Source organism: Homo sapiens, chromosome 10, assembly GCF_000001405.40.
Source record: "Homo sapiens chromosome 10, GRCh38.p14 Primary Assembly".
In the NCBI taxonomy this organism is placed as follows: Eukaryota; Metazoa; Chordata; class Mammalia; order Primates; family Hominidae; genus Homo; species Homo sapiens.
In genome coordinates this window covers 95921437-95941027 of record NC_000010.11, presented here as the reverse complement: position 1 = coordinate 95941027, position 19591 = coordinate 95921437, and the positions used below count along the sequence as shown (strand labels likewise).

The 19591-nt window shown below is 38.7% G+C and overlaps 1 protein-coding gene and 1 long non-coding RNA gene across 19 annotated transcripts in view; one reads left to right on the top strand and one right to left on the bottom strand.

Annotated features, from left to right (window-relative positions):
* Window positions 1–19591, top strand: part of ENTPD1-AS1 (ENTPD1 antisense RNA 1) — a 337030-nt gene that overhangs the window by 149208 nt on the left and 168231 nt on the right. The gene's annotated exons all lie outside the window — the stretch shown is intronic.
* Window positions 1–19591, bottom strand: part of CC2D2B (coiled-coil and C2 domain containing 2B) — a 126075-nt gene that overhangs the window by 92718 nt on the left and 13766 nt on the right. For 14 of the 18 annotated variants that reach the window (XR_002956979.2, XR_002956978.2, XR_002956977.2 and 11 more), the window contains 7 exons: window positions 18952–19012; window positions 16638–16714; window positions 16184–16249; window positions 13696–13791; window positions 2839–3037; window positions 2323–2459; window positions 2103–2231 (listed from right to left, as the gene is read on the bottom strand). Coding sequence is in view for 13 of the 18 variants with exons in the window: in XM_024447995.2 (XP_024303763.1) it covers window positions 2103–2231; window positions 2323–2459; window positions 2839–3037; window positions 13696–13791; window positions 16184–16249; window positions 16638–16714; window positions 18952–19012 (765 nt within the window). In the remaining 5 variants the exon portion in view is untranslated. Of the gene's footprint in view, window positions 1–1029; window positions 3038–13695; window positions 13792–16183; window positions 16250–16637; window positions 16715–18951; window positions 19013–19591 lie in introns of those variants that run through there. The other 4 variants (XM_024447999.2, NM_001130446.3, XM_011539789.4 and 1 more) reach the window with 4 other exon arrangements.

Here is a 19591-nt window from a genome sequence, read left to right as displayed (position 1 = left end):
CTGGGCTCTTCATTCTGTTCCATTGGTCCATATATCTGTCTTTATGCCAGTACCATCCTGTTTTGATTAATGTAGCTTTGTAATATATTTTGAAGTCAGGAATATAAAGCTTCTACCTTGAAGGTCCTTTGTGGTTCCTTATTAATTATTGGATTTTTTTTCCATTTCTGTAAAAAAATGTCATTGGGAGTTTGAAATGGATTGCTCTAAGTCTGCAGATCAGTTTGGGTAGTATGGATATTTTTAACAATATTAAGTCCTCTAACCCATGAACATGGGATGTCTTTCCATTGACTAGTCCTTTATTTTTAAAGTCATAGATGGTCAGCTGACTAATGTCAAAGATGACAATGAATTATAATGAGAAAAGGTTTATTGATTTTTTTCAATAAATGGTACTAAGTCAACTGGATATCCATGTGGATGAAATGAAATATGACCCCCTACCTACCACTATACATAGAAAGTACCTTCCAGATGGGTGGTAACTCTAAATGAGAAAGGTACAACAATAAACTTTTTAGAATAAAAACAGAAGAATACTTTTGGGACCTGGAGTAAGCACACTTTCTTAAACAGGCTATAAAAGGTGCTAACCCTAAAGAAAAAGAAAATGGTAAATTATACTACATTAAAATTAAGAATATCCCATCAAAAAGCACAATTAAGAGTGATATGGTTTGGATCTGTGTCTCCACCCAAATCTCATGTTGAGTTGTAACCCCCAATGTTGGAGGTGGGGCTTGGTACAAAGTGATTGGATCATGGGGGTGGGTCCTTCATGAATGGTTTAACACCATCCCCTTGGGGTTGTTCTGGTGATAGAGTTCTCATGAGATCTAGTCATTCAAAAGTGGGTGGCACCTCCCCTCTTCTCTTTCTTCTTCCTACTCTAGCCTCGTGAAGTGCCAGCTCCCTCTTTGCCCTCCACCATGACTGCAAGTTTCCTGAGGCCTCCCAGAAGTTTCTTGAGGCCTCCCCAGAAGCCAAGCAGATGCCAGCATCATGCTTCCTGTACAGCCTGTAGAATCATGAGCCAATTACACCTCTTTTATTTATAAATTACCCAGTCTCAGGTATTTCTTTATAGTAATGTGAGAATGGACTAATACAGACAGTGAGAAAATTAGCCATAGAGTACATTATATGAGGGCTCACATCCAGAAATCAACACATCAATAAGAAAAAGCAGACAATCCAATAAGAAAAAAATGGGTAAAAGTCTTAACCAAGCTTTCATAAAAAAGGCTGTCCTAATAACCAACAGACATGAAAAGGTGTTCAGTTTCATTAGTCATTAGGGAAATGCAGATTAAAACTTCAATGAAATACAACTTATGTACATCAGAATGGCTATGATTTAAAAGACAGATAATACCAAATGTTGACAGGAATATAAAGCAGCTGAAACTCTCACACACTTCTTAGTTTGTGTATAGTTTGGTACAACCACTTTAGAAAATCATTTGGCACTATATAGTAAAACTAAACATATACAAACCTATAACCCAGCATTTCTACTCTGAGATATTTACCAACAGAAAATGCATACACACACAGTTATCAGAAGATGTGCAAATTTTCATGGTAGTGTTATTAGTAATAGTCAAAACTGGATGTAACTTATATCCATCAATAAAAGAATGGTTAATAAATAAAGGTATTTTTCATACTATGGAGTTCTATACAGCAACAGAAATGAACAAGCTATTGCTGTACACAACAATATAGAGTACCTATTCTATTATTCCATTTATATAAAATAGGTAAAACTAACAGACAAGAGTAACGTAGTGGTAGAAGTTATAATAGTGGCTACCTTGAGTATCATTCATTTATTCATTATTTTTGTAAAATTAGCACCATACATAATTTTGCATTCTGCTTTTTTCACTTCAGATTTTATTTTGAGCATTTCCCCATATCATTCAATATTCCTTGAAACTATAATTTTAAGGGCTATTTAACATTTCATCATGATTTAGACATTATATTAGTAGACTTAGTATCTTTAAAGGATAAATCAACACCACAAAACCACCAGCGATAATTGATATTACAAGAATTTTAACCATAATTACAAATAAATTGTTGTTGGTTACCTTCCTGTATATGGTCTTAAGTAATGGATTTAAAGGTTCCTTCCTTACATTTAGTCTGAAATTCCATGACTGTTTAATAGGTGTAGGTAATGACATTATTTCTCCACTTTCTCCAAACCAACATTTTCCCTATCAAAAATATTTAAGTATAGTAATTAAATATTTTGCTAAATAAGTCACATAGTAGCCAGTGTTTTAACTTGTTAGGTGGTGCACTTGCCTCTTCTAGTTTAAGCAGGCGATTTTCCATTTTGTTGCAGGTCTTTTTGTATATTTCTGGCTTTCTCTGAATATAGAATCCTTCATCTTCTAGAATACGTGGCATCATATCTTTTGGCAGTTTGCGCTGGTTAACCACTTTATAACAATAAAACTTAGATATTACTTTAAAGTCCAAAATATTAAATGGATATTGACCAAATAAGTAGTACAAACAACTATAATTACACCCTACTACTGAAGTCTAGCAGAAAGCCTCTCTCTCACTGTCTCTTACTTTCTCGCTCGCTCTCTCTCTCTATATATAAATACATATGCCTATATATGTACATTTTTTAAATGAAGAATGAGTTCTCTTAATCAGTTCCCTTAATTCAGGGAAGTCATGAAAAACAAATATAGAAAAGTTACTATAATTTTAGATCAGTATTTTTTATTTATCCAGCATACAATAAAGCTATTATCCCATAACATAATTCGTTAATGACTTGAATATTTTACTGGGAAAGAATGTTACCTGGAGAACTACTTGGTACAAAAATATTTGCCTTCTGTTTTTTTATTTGTTCTTGATCATCTTCATAGTCAGCAGCTTTTACTTTGAGTATATCTGTCAAAATGAATTCTTTCATAAACTCTTCCTCTTCACTCTCAGCAACATTTTGTAAATTAACACCAAGTGAAAAGCATTTGGGATAACTACGGTTTACTGGTCTCTGTTGAATACCAAAAAGGAAAATAAGTTTACATGCTTGTCTCCAATGATTAATATGCAAATAAATGAAATGTACTGGAACCTTACTGTGAACTGTGCGTCTGATCCTGCCACCCACAGAACAAGTTCCAGTTGAACTTGTGTTACAATGAAATTTCACTGAATTTAGAACTCATTTAAGGTTTAGTATTACACAATATGATTTTTCTATAGCCCATCTTTGCAATTCTTCACTGAAAGACTGCTGAAATAGCCCTTCCTCCCCTATGGAAAATGTTCTGAGATACTCAACTGTAATATTTCAACTACTGAGAATACACAGTGTAGGGCAGGGTCCAAAGATACCAGACCATGTGACCCTAAATCCTTTTTTTCCCCATCATTCAGAAAACAGTACCACCTAAAGTGCTGTAGAGTAGGCATGCTTTTTTCTACAAGGTATTCATGAAAAAAAAAAAGAAAGAAGAAAGAAAAGTAAAGATTCAGCATAGAAGTCTAGTAGAGTGATTATAGTGAAATTCTGATATATGATATATATAAAGGTTATAAACAATTTGAACATAGATGTGGAAACAGATACATTACTAAATATTAAAATGAATGTATCATACTCATAAATTTAATGAGTCTATTCATGAAAGCAAAATCATTATTTTGGATGATTTTATCTGTCTAATTTGAAATATACACATACTGAACAACAGAGACAGTGTGTGAGTCAGACAAAAATCCCTCAGTTTTCAAAAACACACATTTAGGGTAAATAATAAAATTTAAAAAGTTAATCACAGAATTCCTTTGACCAGATAATCCCTACATGGCCTCGATCAATACTGACAAAGTTAAATAAGTAATGTCATTAAACATCCACTAGGTTCATATAAAATCATATCATCATACCCTCCCTCCTATATCCCTGCCATGAAATCAGGATAATATTTTATATCCAGAAATCTTCATGATATCCTTTTCAGAATTTAAATAAAGTATGCCAACATCTAGGAGCAAGATTTGGCGGATCTCCACATGGGGGCTCTCTTTGAAGATCCCAGTCGTAGACTACAAAGCCTCTTTGCTCCAACTGGAGCTCTCATAACCAAGCTTCCTTTATAACACCCCTTGTGTGGGCCAGGGCTTTCCACCTGCCTTCAGAGCTAAGGTCTGCCCTGATGGTAGACTACGCTGGGCTCTCATCTTGGACTCTAGCCTCTGAGTTATGACTCTGTGGGTCTTTTTTTTATAAGCCCTACCCAATCTGCCTATATTTTTAGCTTGAGACAAGCTGTGATCTGGACCAATACAAGTCCTACCTGCTCAACTGTTCCTCACTTAGTCTGAGTCCAGCTGCTATCCCAGATCACTTTCTTGGTCTTCACTATGCAGCTCACAGCAGAGCAATGTGTGTGCTGTTGGCTATTGTGTGATAGGGTGAATGGGGTCAGAAGATATAAGTCTAGATGGATACAAGTGAGTTTTGTGCAGTAAAAAAGGGGTAGTGTCCCTGCCCCTTCTCACAGGAACATGCCTTGTTAACTGTGGTGTGACAAGCAGAACCTTCTGAAAGTAACCCCAGGCCTCACTCTGGGTTGCCCAGATGAGATATCTGGAACGAGGGCTCCCCTTTCTCCCAGCAGGAAGGTGCCACACTCAAACTCAGCCTCTTACAAAAGAAGTAGCATTCTCCTTTCTGTGATGGGGACAGTAGTCACTAGCTGCAGGGCAGATAGCTTTTCCAAACAACTTCTCTAAACAGCTCACATCTAAACCTTGACTTCCTCATACCCAAGAAGCCCATTTGCCCCACTCTTTACTCCTACTGACCTAATATCTTTATGCTTGCCCTACAAGAAGGAAAAGTGGCCACAGCCACAGCACCTAGCCCTGGCATACTCTGCTGGGTGGGAGGATCAGAGACACGGCCCGCTTTTGTTTTTGCAGAAAAGCCTATCTTAACCCAAATTGTGGGATGCTGGGAAGTCAGATGACTGATTAAGAGCATAGGAAAGTTTGATACCCATTTAATCAATATTCATTCAAATATTCATTGTGTGCCTAACATATTCCAGGAAGAAAATAAACAAATAGACACAGAAATATACATTAAGTGGTGATAAGTGTTATGAAGAAAAATAAAGCAGGGTAAGAGGATAGAGAATGCTGGGCTGGGTAGGTTGGGGGTACTATTTTAGATAGGGTTGTCAGGCATAGCATCTATAATAATATGTCATTTGAACAGAAATCCAAAGTTAGCGGGGGACACAGCTTACGGAAAAGGAAAGAGCTTTCTAGGCAGACACCTTGGTACAAAGGCCCTGAGGCAGGAGCTTGCTGTAAATGAGAAACAGGAAGGAAGCCAATGTGGCTGGTGTTAGATGACAGAGAGGAGAGTAGTGAAAAATGAAATAAAGTCAGAGAGGTGCTAAGGGGACCAGGTCCCCCCTGTAAGGACTTTTATTGTGAATGAGGTAGGAAACCATTAGAAAGTGTAAGCAAAAAAAAAAAAAAAATCTGTCTTAGATTTTAACAAGGTCACTGTGATGACTGTATGGTATGGAAAATGGACTACAGGGACAATAGTGAATACAGAGGGAGACAGTGGCAGTGATTCTGATGAGAGGCTATGGTGAAGTACCAGAGAGGCTGGTGAAAAGTGGGTCTGATATGGGAATACTTTGAAGGCAGAACCAACAGGGTTTGTAAGAAATTGGATTTGAAGCATTTGAGTAAAAGGAAATCTGAGGATGAGACCAAGGTTCAACTGAGCAACTGGAAAAATGGAATTGCCATTTACTACTGTGATTCTGTTTATATAAAACTGTGTGGCCAGATGTGGTGGCTCACGCCTGTAATCCCAACACTTTGGAAGGCCGAGGTGGGCAGATCACCTGAGGTCAGGAGTTTGAGACCAGCCTGGCCAACACAGCGAAACCCCATCTCTACTAAAAATACAAAAATTAGCCAGGTGTAGTGGCACATTCCTGTAATCCTAGCTACTCGGGAGGCTGAGGCAAGAGAATCGCTTGAAGCCAGGAGACAGAGGTTGCAGTGAGCTGAGGTCATGCCACTGCACTCCAGCCTGGGTGACAGACCAAGACTCCATCTCAAAACAAAACAAAACAAAACAAACAAACAAAAAACTCTGTGGCTGGCAAGATGGCGGAATAGGAACAGCTCCAGTCTGCAGCTCCCAGCAAGACTAACGCAGAAGGCCGGTGATGTCTACATTTCCAACTGAGGTACCTGGCTTATTGCACTGGGACTGATTAGACAGTGGGTGCAGCCCACAGAGGGTGAGCAGAAGCAGGGTGGGGCACCGCCTCACCCAGGAAGCATAAGGGGTTGGGGAACTCCCTCCCCTAGCCAAGGGAAGCCCTGAGGGACTGTGCCATGAGGAACACTTTTCCCATGGTCTTCTCAACCTGCAGACCAGGAGATTCCCTTGGGGGCCTACGTCACCAGGGCCCTGGGTTTCAATACAAAACTGGGTGGCTGTTTGGCAGACACTGAGGTAGCTTCAAGAGGTTTTTTTGTTTGTTTGTTTGTTTTTTTTTTTTCATACCCCAGTGGTGCCTGGAACGCCAACAAGACAGAATCGACAGAACCGTTCACTCCCCTGGAAAGGAGGCTGAAGCCAGGGAGCCATGTGGTCTAGCTTTGTGGATCCCACCCCGACGGAGCCCCGCAAGCTAAGATCAACTGGCTTGAAATTCTCACTGCCAGCACAGCAGTCTGAAGTCGACCTGGGACGCTCAAGCTTGGTGGGGAAGGGGCGTCCGCCATTACTGAGGCTTGGGTAGGCGGGTTTTCCCCTTACAGTGTAAACAAAGCCACGGGGAAGTTCAAACTAGGCAGAGCCCACCACAGCTTGGCAAAGCTGCTGTAGCCAAACTGCCTCTCTAGACTCCTCCTCTCTGGCCAGGGCATCTCTGAAAGAAAGGCAGTAGCCCCAGTCAGGAGCTTATAAATAAAACTCCCATCTCCTGGGACAGAGCACCTGGGGAAGGGGCGGCTGTGGGCACAGCTTCAGCAGACTTAAACGTTCCTGCCTGCCAGCTCTGAAGAGAGCAGCAGATCTTCCAGCACAGTGCTCGAGCTCTGCTAAGGGACAGACTCCCTCCTCAAGTGGTTCCCTGACCCCTGTGCCTCCTGACTGGGAGACACTTCCCAGCACAGGTCGACAGACACCTCATACAGGAGAGCTCCGCTGGCATCTGATGGGTGCCCCTCTGGGACGAAGCTTCCAGAGGAAGGAAGAGGCAGCAATCTTTGCTGTTCTGTAGCCTCTGCTGGTGACACCCAGGCAAAGGGGGTCTGGAGTGGACCTCCAGCAAACTCCAGTAGACCTGCAGCAGAGGGGTCTCTTACAAGGAAAACTAACAAACAGAAAGGAATAGCATCAACATCAACAAAAAGGATGTCCACACAGAAACCCCATCCAAAGGTCACCAACACCAAAGACCAAAGGTAAATAAATCCATGAAGATGAGGAAAAAACAGCAGAAAAAGGCTGAAAATTTCAAAAACCAGAACGCCTCTTTTCCTCCAAAGGATCACAACTCCTCACCAGCAAGGGAACAAAACTGGACAGAGAATAAGTTTGATGAATTGACAGAAGTAGGCTTCAGAAGGTGGGTAATAACAAATTCCTCTGAGCTAAAAGAGCATGTTCTAACCTAATGCAAGGAAGCTAAGAACCTTGAAAAAAAGTTAGAGGAATTGCTAACTGGAACAACCAGTTTAAAGAAGAACATAAATGACCAGATGGAGCTGAAAAACACAGCACGAGAACTTCGTGAAGCATACAAAAGTACCAACAGCTGAATCGATCAAGCAGAAGAAAAGATACCAGAGATTGAAGATCAACTTAATGAAATAAAGCATGAAGACAAGATTAGAGAAAAAAGAATGAAAAGAAATGAACAAAGCCTCTAAGAAATATGGGACTATGTGAAAAGACCAAACCTACATTTGATTGGTGTACCTGAAAGTGACGAGGAGAATGGAACTGAGTTGGAAAACACTCTTCAGGATATTATCCAAGAGAACTTCCCCAACTTAGCAAGACAGGTCAACATTCAAATTCAGGAAATACAGAGAATACCACAAAGATACTCCTCGAGAAGAGCAACCCCAAGAAACATAATCGCCAGAGTCACCAAGGTTGAAATGAAGGAAAAAATGTTAAGGGCAGCCAGAGAGAAAGGTCAAGTTACCCACAAAGGGAAGTCCATCAGACTAACAGTGGATCTCTATGCAGAAATCCTACAAGCCAGAAAAGAGTGGGGGCCAATATTCAACATTCTTAAAGAAAAGAATTTTCAACCCAGAATTTCATATTCAGCCAAACTAAACTTCGTAAGCTAAGGAGAAATAAAATCCTTTACAGACAAGCAAATGCTGAGAGATTTTGTTACCACCAGGCCTGACTTACAAGAGCTCCTGAAAAAAGTACTAAATATGGAAAGGAAAAACCAGCATCAGCCACTGCAAAAACATACCAAATTATAAAGACCATTGACACTATGAAGAAATTGCATCAACTAATAGGCAAAATAACCAGCTAGCATCGTAATGACAGTATCAGATTCACACAGAACAATATTAATCTTAAATGTAAATGGGCTAAATGCCCCAGTTAAAAGATACAGACTGGCAAATTGGATAATGAGTCAAGACCCATTGGTGTGCTGTATTCAGGAGACCCATCTCACATGCAAAGACACACATAGGCTCAAAATAAAGGGATGGAGGAAGATTTGCCAAGCAAATGGAAAGCAAAAAAAAGCAGGGGTTGCCATCCTAGTCTCTGATAAAACATACTTTAAACCAACAAAGATGAAAAAAGACAAAGAAGGGCATTACATAATGGTAAAGGATTGATGCAACAAGAAGAGCTAACTATCCTAAATATATATATGCATCCAACACTGGGGCACCCAGATTCATAAAGCAAGTCCTTAGAGACCTACAAAGAGACTTAGACTCCCACACAATAATAATGGGAGACTTTAACATCCCACTGTCAATATTAGACAGATGAATGAGACAGAAAATTAACAAGGATATTCAGGACTTGAACTCAGCTCTGGACCAAGTGGACCTAACAGACATCTACGGAACTCTCCACCCCAAATCAACAGAATATACATTCTTCTCAGCACCACATTGCACTTATTCTAAAATTGACCACATAATTGGAAGTAAAACACTCCTCAGCAAATGCAAAAGAATGGAAATCGTAACAGTCTCTCAGACCACAGTGCAATCAAATTAGAACTCAGGATTAAGAAACTCACTCAAAACTGCACAACTACATGGAAACTGAACAACCTGCTCCTGAATGACTACTGGGTAAGTATCAAAATTAAGGCAGAAATAAATAAGTTATTTGAAACCAAAGAAAACAAAGACACAATGTACCGGAATCTCTGGGACACAGTTAAAGCAGTGTTTAGAGGGAAATTTATAGCACAAAAAGCCCACAGGAAAAAGTGGGAAAGATCTAAAATCAACACCCTAACATCACAATTAAAAGAACTGGAGAAGCATGAGCAAACAAATTCAAAAGCTAGCAGAAGACAAGAAATAACTAAGATCAGAGCAGAACTGAAGGAGATAGAGACACAAAAAACTCTTCAAAAAATCAATGAATCCAGGAGCTGGTTTTTTGAAAAGATTAACAAAATAGACCACTAGCCAGACTAATAAAGAAGAAAAGAGAGGAGAATCAAATAGACACAATAAAAAACGATAAAGGGGATGTCACCACTGATCCCACAGAAATACAAACTACCATCAGAGAATGCTATTAACACCTCTACACAAATAAACTAGAAAATCTAGAAGAAATGGATAAATTCCTGGACACATACACCCTCCCAAGACTATACCAGGAAGAAGTCGAATCCCTGAATAGACCAATATCAAATTCTGAAATTGAGGCAATAATTAATAGCCTACCAACCATAAAAAGCCCAGGACCAGACAGATTCACAGCCGAATTCTACCAGAGATACAAAGAGGAGCTGATATCATTCCCTCTGAAACCATTCCAAACAATAGAAAAAGAGAGACTCCTCGCTAACTCATTTTATGAGGCCAGCATCATCCTGATACCAAAACCTGTCAGGGACACAACAAAAAAAGAAAATTTCAGGCCAATATTTCTGATGAACATCGATGCAAAAATCCTCAATAAAATACTGGCAAACCAAGTCCAACACCACCTCAAAAAGCTTATCCACCACGATCAGTGGGCTTCATCCTGGGAAGCAAGGCTGATTCCACATATGAAAATCAATAAACATAATCCATCACGTAAACAGAACCAATGACAAAAACCACATGACTATCTCAATAGATGCAGAAAAGACCTTTGATAAAATTCAACACCCTTTCATGCTAAAAACTCCCAATAAACTAGGTATTGATGGAATGTATATAAGAGCTATTCAGGACAAACCCACAGCCAATATCAAACTGAATGGGCAGAAGCTGGAAGCATTCCCTTTGAAAACTGGCACAAGACAAGGATGCCCTCTCTCACCACTCCTATTCAACATAGTATTGGAAGTTCTGACCAGGGAAATCAGGCAAGAGAAAGAAATAAAGGGTATTCAAATAGGAAGAGAAGAAGTCAAATTGTCTCTGTTTGCAGATGACATGATTGCATATTTAGAAAACCCCATCGTCTCAGCCCAAAACCTCCTTAAGCTGATAAGCAACTTCGGGAAAGTCTCAGGATACAAAATCAATGTGCAAAAATCACAGGCATTCTTATACACCAATAACAGACAAACAGAGAGCCAAATCATGAGTGAACTCCCATTCACAATTGCTACACAGAGAATAAAATACCTAGGAATACAACTTATAAGGGATGTGAAGCACCTCTTCAAGGAGAACTATAAACCACTGCTCAATTAAATAAAAGAGGACACAAACAAATGGAAATATATTCCATGCTCATGGATAGGAAGAATCAATATCGTGAAAATGGCCATACTGCCCAAAGTAATTTATAGATTCAATGCTATCCCCATCAAGCTACCATTGACTTTCTTCACAGAATTAGAAAAAAATACTTTAAATTTCATATGGAACCAAAAAAGAGCCTGGATAGCCAAGACAATATTAAGCAAAAAGAACAAAGCTGTAGGCATCACGCTACCTGACTTCAAACTATACTACAAGGCTACAGTAACCAAACAGCATGGTACTGGTACCAAAATAGATATATAGACTAATGGAACAGAACAGAGGCCTCAGAAATAATGCTACACATCTACAACCATCTGATCTTTGATAAACCTGACAAAAACAAGCAATGGGGTAAAGATTCCCTATTTAATCAATGGTGTTGGGAAAACTGGTTAGCCATATGCCGAAAACTGAAACTGGACCCCTTCCTTACACCTTATACAAAAATTAACTCGAGATGGATTAAAGACTTAAATGTAAGACCTAAAACCATAAAAACCCTAGAAGAAAACCTAGGCAATAATATTCAGGACATAGGCATGGGCAAAGGATTTATAACTAAAACACCAAAAGCAATGGCAACAAAAGCCAAAATTGACAAATGGGATCTAATTAAACTAAAGAGCTTCTGCACAGCAAAAGAAACTATCACCAGAGTGAACAGGCAACCTACAGAATGGGAGAAAATTTTTGCAATCTACTCATCTGAAAAGGGCTAATATCCAGAATCTACAAATAACTTAAACAAATTTACAAGAAAAAACAACCCCATCAAAAAGTGAGCGAAGGATATGAACAGACACTTCTCAAAAGAAGACATTTATGCAGCCAGCAAACATATGAAAAAAAAGCTCACCATCACTGGTCATTAGAGAAATGCAAATCAAAGCCACAATGAGATACCATCTCACACCAGTTAGAATGGCGATCATTAAAAAGTCAGGAAAGAATGGATGCTGGAGAGGATGGGGAGAAATAGGAACACTTTTACACTGTTGGTGGGAGTGTCTTCCACCATTGTGGAAGACAGTGTGGCAATTCCCTAAGGATCTAGAACCAGAAATACCATTTGACCAAGCAATCTCATTACTGGGTATATACCCAAAGGATTATAAATCATGCTACTATAAAGACACATGCACACGTATGTTTACTACAGCACTGTTCACAATAGCAAAGACTTGGAATCAACCCAAATGCCCATCAATGATAGACTGAATAAAAAAAATGTGGCACACATACACCATGGAATACTATGGAGACAAAAAAGGATGAGTTCATGTCCTTTGCAGGGACATGGATGAAGCTGGAAACAATCAGTCTCAGGAAACTAACACAGGAACAGAAAACCAAACACCGCATGTTCTCACTCATAAGTAGGAGTTGAACAATGAGAACACATGGACACAGGGAAGGGAACATCACACACCAGGGCCTGTCAGGGGGTGGGGGCGAGGGGAGGCATAGCATTAGGAGAATACCTAATGTAGATGACGGGTTGATGGGTGCAAGCAAACCACCATGGCACCTGTATACCTATGTAACAAACCTGCAAGTTCAGCACATGTATCCCAGAACTTAAAGTATAATAGTAATAAAAACGTGTGTGTGCATGTACAGGGCTAAGCATAGAGAAAAGTATGAAAAAATGATAATAGTGACTATCTTAGGGCAGTGGGATTTCAGATGATTTTTATTTTCTTCCTTGTGGCTTTCTGCATTACGTTTTTATACTGTGTATGTTTTACTTGTTCAAAATTTTAAGAGTTTTTTTTTTTTAATTGTGCAAAAAACAACAATAACAAAACGAGAATGAAAGGACTGGAGCAGAATGCAAAGAAAGGAGACTGGAAGAGACTGGGAGGTGGAAGTAGGAAGGCAAATGGGGGACCCAGAGGGACTTGACAGGGGGACCTGAGGGATCTGGAGGGACCAAGAGGTGTCAAAAGACATTATGTAGAACTACTGAGAATAAGAGGTACTGGGTAGCAGAGGGCTCAAGAAAACTGTAGGGAGACTGGAAGGTACACAGGAATTGAAGAAAGTGTCCAGGAACAAGAGCAGATAGGGAGACAAGTCAGGAGGAAATGGGAAAGACCAGTGAGGCTAAGTAGGACTGGAGGAAAGGGCAACCCCAGGGAAACAGGGAGACTACACAGTTTGAGGGGGACTGAGAGGGACTGACTAGAAGGAGGGCTTGGGATTGGGTTAGGAGGAATGAAGAATGAGGAGACCATGAGGAGTAGTGGAGATTGTGGAGAACAATGTAGGGCCCTTGGAAAGGATAGGAACAAAAAAAAAAAAAGAAAGAAAGAAAGAAAGAAAAAAGAAAACACAGGCTTTTGAGCTGACAGCCTAGACTTTCCAGCTGTATCAAGGCTTAACCCTCTTTGCTTGATTTTCGTTACCTGTAAAGATAAGCATAATGCCTGCCTCACAGGGTTAAGATGAGGATTTAATGCTACAATTCGTGTTAAAAACTTAGTAATCACTGGGCATTCAGAGTGCACTCAATAAATGCTAGGTTTTATTATTATGAACAGCTTCTTAATTCAAAGAGAAGATGAAGGCACAATAATAAAACTTTATCTCCCGTCCAAGTATTTCATTCTGCACTTTTAATAAAGAATCATTTTTTCCTGAGAGTGAGATGGTGGGAGGGAGGCAAACAAATCCAACCTGCTCTGAAGACTTGCCCAAAGCTGAACCTTCTTCACCACTCAGAATGAAAAATGAAAGACTTTCATCCAATGAGACTTCAGTCTGTGGAGACAACTATGATAAACCAGTATTTAGTGTTGAAATAAACACTTTTTCTGCTTATAAGTAAAGGAAATAGTTTTCTGTAATATGGTAAACATAATTGTTATCTCTCTAGCAAACAGGGAGCACCAAGGCAAACAATATCAAGGTATATTTAGCTTTGAGTCTGTTTGGTTCATGAGTTTTTATTTTTGTTTTGTTTCTAATGTTCGGGTAACTGCAAGAAAAGCCAGAATATACAGCCAGAATCTTCTCCATCTTCCCAAACTATCTCCTCACTATAGTCTGGGTGATAAGAGTTTGACCAAAATGCTGGCTCCAGTGGAACTTTCTTTTCTCTCCTTGTTTTTGGTGCTGTCCTGTTCAGGCGCGCGCACACACACACACACACACACACACAGACACACACACACACACACACACACACACACACTGCCACCTCAGCCCACAATCTTTCATGGAGTTAGAAGCAATTAAAAGTCTGAAAAGTGGTATATTCTTGGTTGTAAACCCGCTGACAAAGAAGCTCTCATTTTTCACTCTTGTCTGACTCTTTGAATTGATAAATCACTTCTTTCTCACACACATATATTAAAATGAAATGTTTTAAGGAAGGCTTGGGAAAGGAATCAATTCTATAATAAGTAAAACTCATAGTTACTAGGAATGAAAGAATTTAAAATATGTAAAATATAAAATTATAAGATATAACTTTATATAAGATAATTTTATAAAATATAAAATTATAAGATTTTATCTTGTAAGATAAAAGCTTATCTTTATATTGTTTGTATCTACACTGTAGCCATCATATTAACTTAAAAGTTATTCACCTTGTAACAATGCTGCTTATATGAATTGTCAGTATATACTTTTACCCCCCATCACCTCTGCACATCTCAAAATCACTTGCTGAAATCTTCTGCTTCCTGAGCAAATATACCTGTGTGGTAATTGGGATCGTGTTTCTTAGAAGCCAATTTCTCTTCCTTTTAACCCCTTTTCCTGATACTCAATGGATTGACCTTGACAAACTTTGTAACTCTTTATAGTTTTTACTACTCGTAGTGAAATTAAATCCAATTTAGGCATGTTTTAATTCATGTGTTGAGTGAATAACATGCACATAAACATCACTTTTTAGTCTGCGTTTACCTTTACATTTAATTAAAATAATTTTTATTAAGCATCTAAGAGGTGCTCTGTTGAGGAGCCAAAGATAAATTTAAAAAAAAAAACCTTGCATTTTAAAATTTGCAGTTAAATACTCTAGGTGCTTGTGGCAGAAACTATTAGTTGCTCATTACAGTCTTTTCTCCCAACTCTAATAGTAGAACCTAGACACTTCTTCCACATTCATTTGGTGGAAATGATATGATATGCAGTTTCCTGGTCTTCTCCCCTAAAAGATCAACCTAAAATCCTTTGGTTCTTTCTTCCCCACTTCCCTTTTGCTAGCAAATGGAAAACTACAGCTTTGCCATTGGACTTACGGATGGAAACCACATATTGGAGATGGCAAAACTCTCCTATCAGCCCCGACTGCTGATTTGTTACATTAGAGAAAAAGGAAACTTCTATCTTAATGAAAACACTTTACTTTGAATCTTTTTGTTACAGCTACTTAGCTTGTCCTCTAAATAATATAACTCTTTAAAAATATGAGTTGTTTTGTCATTTCAAGTTCCAAATATGTGATTACACATTGAATTTTCAAATATTGATTACACATTAAATTAAAAATCTGTAAGTTGGATTAAAATCTGTAAGTTGGATATCACCTATAACATTGTTAAAATAATTAATTGGGAGGCTATTAGACTGAAGCAGCTCTAGGGCCCTGAGTTCCTATGTAAGCAAACCAAACCCAATTCAGTGTGAATGGTCCTATCCAAGGAAACTGTAACTTTAGTTTTACCAATCAGAAACTGCCAACTAATCTCTAACTAGGAACTTTAAGGCTACTGCTCCATTCTAGTCAATCAATGTTTTCTTTGCCTTGCTTCCGCATGCACCGTTTAAAAGTTTTCCCTGCATGCCCTTTCGGTGGAGCCCTAACCATCTGCACAGTGGCACTCCTCAATTCATGGATTGTTGCCTGTTCAAATAAACTCTTTAAACTTTTAATGTTCCTAAGTTTATCTTTTAACAATATTTTATTATAATTTTTTAGGATAAAAAGTAATGCCAAGTAAGAATAGAGGGTGATTGCAAATGGGCAATCACTGATAAAGAGGAATCTTTTTTGGGTGATAAAAACTAAACTGTGGTATTGATTGAACAATTCTGTAAATTAACTAGAAATCATTGAGTCATATACACTTTAAATGGGTGAAGTTTTGCTATGTAAACTATACTTCCATAAAGCTGTTTTAAAAAGTAAAAAAAGAGAAAAGTTATTCACCTTGGACCTTTGATGTATTTCGCTATCAATGAGCTGCTCAGTTGAAGATTTTTCACCTTTATTAATCTGAAACACAACATAAATAAATCTTTACAGAAATAGACATAATTGTGCTCATAAGTCTTTTGTCCAAAATTTATAAATATCAATACTTTGCAATGTTTTTCTTTTAAAAAGTGTGGTATGTGTACATGAAATATCAGCAGACATACTGAAATGTCATTTATAATTACTATGACCAAATCACCTAGCTCTTCTTGGCTTTAGGTTTGACATTATAAGGATGTTATGAGACAAAAGGAAAATATATATATAGAGAGAGAGAGGAAGACTTTAGGAATTAAGGAGCTATATTAACACTGAATTTCGGCTCTTTTGACAAAGAAAACTTGATTGTGTTAAATGTCTCATTTAAATAGTAAATTTGAAAACAGGAAATTTTAAAAAGCATTACCTTAGAAATTTTTAGCTTTTCTCTCACTTTGCCTCTCAATGTCTTTGCTACATTTTGATTTTCTTCTGCATCTAAATCTATCAGGAAACCAACATAATAAAGAGTTTATGACACTTTATTATAATTAAACAACAATAGCAGCAAAAGTATTTATTAAATTCTTTAATTGCATGCATTTCTAAGCCTCATGACAATTATGAAAACTAGGTTATTATCTTATGAGAGCTTAGAATCTAAGACAAATAGATGTCCTTTCCCCTTTTCCATCTGGAATAAATACTTTCACCCATTCAGGACTGATTTTTGTTTTTCTTTGTGACAACTTTTCTATCCTCTATCACCTTCTTTTTTATTTTTTTTATTTTTTTTGAGACAGAGTTTTGCTCTTGTCACCCAGGCTGGAGTGCAGTGACACCATCTTGGTTCACTGCAACCTCCCCCTCCCGGGTTCAAGCGATTCTCCTACCTCAGCCTCCTGAGTGGCTGGGATTACAGGCGTGCGCCACCACACCCTGCTAACTTTCTTTTTTGTATTTTTAGTAGAGATGGGGTTTCGCCATGTTGGCCAGGCTGGTCTTAAACTCCTGACCTCAGGTGATCCACCCACCTCAGCCTCCCAAAGTCCTGGGATTACAGGCATGAGCCACCGCGCCCAGCCCTCTTTTTTAAATTTTTAATTATCGTGGGTACATAGTAGGTCTCTGTCACCTTCTTTTGTTGCTTCCTCAGCTACTGGCCAGAGCCCTTCTTTGGCCAAAAACAAAACAAAACAAAACAAAAACAAAGCTCAGATTTTAAAAATCTGTGAGACATCTCTGTGAAGTATACTAATACAAAAATATCAAAGCCTGGTTACTTGAATTTTATTAAACTGAAAAGACAGGAATCTAAAAAAGAAGAGTGATAAGTCTCTGGATACCCATTTTAATTATGATAGTTTTGTAAAATCATTATAACACTTCTGACCCCTACTTTTTCCAGCTATTAGAGAAAAGGAAAGTTTTGAGGGTATAAAGGAGGCTTATGCCTGCAATCTCAGCATTTTGGGAGGCCGAGGCAGGAGGACTGCTTGAGGCCAGGAGTTTGAGACCAGCTTGCGCAACATAGCAAGACCCTGTCTCCACACACACACACACACACAAATTTGGGGGCTGGGCACAGTGGCTCACGCCTGTAATCCCAGCACTTTGGGAAGCCGAGGCGGGCAGGTCAGGAGTTCGAGACCAGCCTGACCAACATGGAGAAACCCCATCTCTACTAAAAATACAAAATTAACTGGGCGTGGTGGCACATGCCTGTAATCCCAGCTATTTGGGAGGCTGAGGCAGGAGAATTGCTTGAACCCGGGAGGTGGAGGTTGTGGTGAGCCGAGATCACGCCATTGCACTCCAGTCTGAGCAATAAGAGCAAAACTCCATCTCAAAAAAAAAAAAAAATAACATACATGCCTATAGTCCCAGCTACTTGAGAGGCTGAGGTGGGACCACCGCTTGAGCCCAGAAGTCTGAGGCTGCAGTGAGCTATGATCGCACTACTTCACTCCAGCCTTAGGCAACAGAGCAAGACTCTGTTTCTTAAAAAAGAAAAAAAAAAGTCTCAAGCCCTTGTGTGTACTCCAAGCCATGTGTTATTTTCTGCTCGGTTGCTGGATGGAATGAAAGAGATCATGCAAGATCATGCAATCCTAGGTACAGTAAAAAATTGAGGACCTATTGATCACTTTGCCTTGCTTTTTACTTTTTCTATTCCCTGCCTTTGAGTGCTTAAAGGTTACATAGAAGTTTGTAGAAGTAAAGGGTAAGCATAAAGCTAAATAACTAACTATAGGTCATGAGAATCTTCATGTTTAACCACAGTATTCCTTGGTAAAATTTAAAAATTACTAGTTGGTTTTGTTTATACTCTATTCCCATAACTTAGAATGGCAGATGGCATATAATACATGCTCAATAAATATTTGCTTGATGAATGAACCAGAGCTCAACCATTATTTATGTATTTTCCTCCCTGAGATTTGAAGTTTGCTGAAGCAGGTTCTGCACCTATGTATCTTTGTGGTCTAAAACAGTCTCACCGCCAGTGGAATCTCCATGTTTGCAGTGACAAAAAGAAAATGAAATTCAGGTTTATTACATCCATTGACTTTTCTATTTCCTTATGCCCATCTTGTTTTATTTAGGAAGTTTAATTTCTCTTTAAACTGATTCCTTAGGAAATTTGTGTTCCCAGCTGAAACCCTGGCACAGGATTAATCATTTACATCTTTAAAAATAAAAATGAAGAGTATCAGAGTTATGGTATACTTATTGAGAACCTTTTTGGAGATGCTTGTCTATAATTTCTTCAGCTGTAATATTATCCATCTCTTCTGACATCTGCAAAAAAAGCAGGGAGGGTTAAACTTGCATCTTGTTTTGTCACTGAACATCTTTTATTATTATTATTATTATACTTTAAGTCCTAGGGTACATGTGCACAACATGCAGGTTTGTTACATAGGTATACATGTGCCATGTTGGTTGCTGCACCCATCAACTCGTCATTTACATTAGGTATATCTCCTAATGCTATCCCTCCCCCAGCCCCCCACCCTCTGACAGGCCCTGGCGTGTGATGTGCCCCGCCCCATGTCTATGTGTTCTCGTTATTGAACATCTTTTCAAATATTCGTCAGCCCTTTGAACATCATCTCCTTTAAAATGCCAGTTCACAGATTTTGCTTGTTTTCTTAAATTTCACCTTTTTATCAATTTGTATGAGCTCTTTATATATGGTGAAATTACTCTCTCTTAGGAGGTAAAGCAAGGTGGCTGGATAGAATCCTCCAGCAATCATCTGCACTGCAGGAACAACAAATTGAACAACTATCCACATAAGAAGCACCTTCACAAGAACCAAAAATCAGGTGAGCAATCATAGTGCCTGGTTTTAACATCATGTCAAGGAAAGAGGCA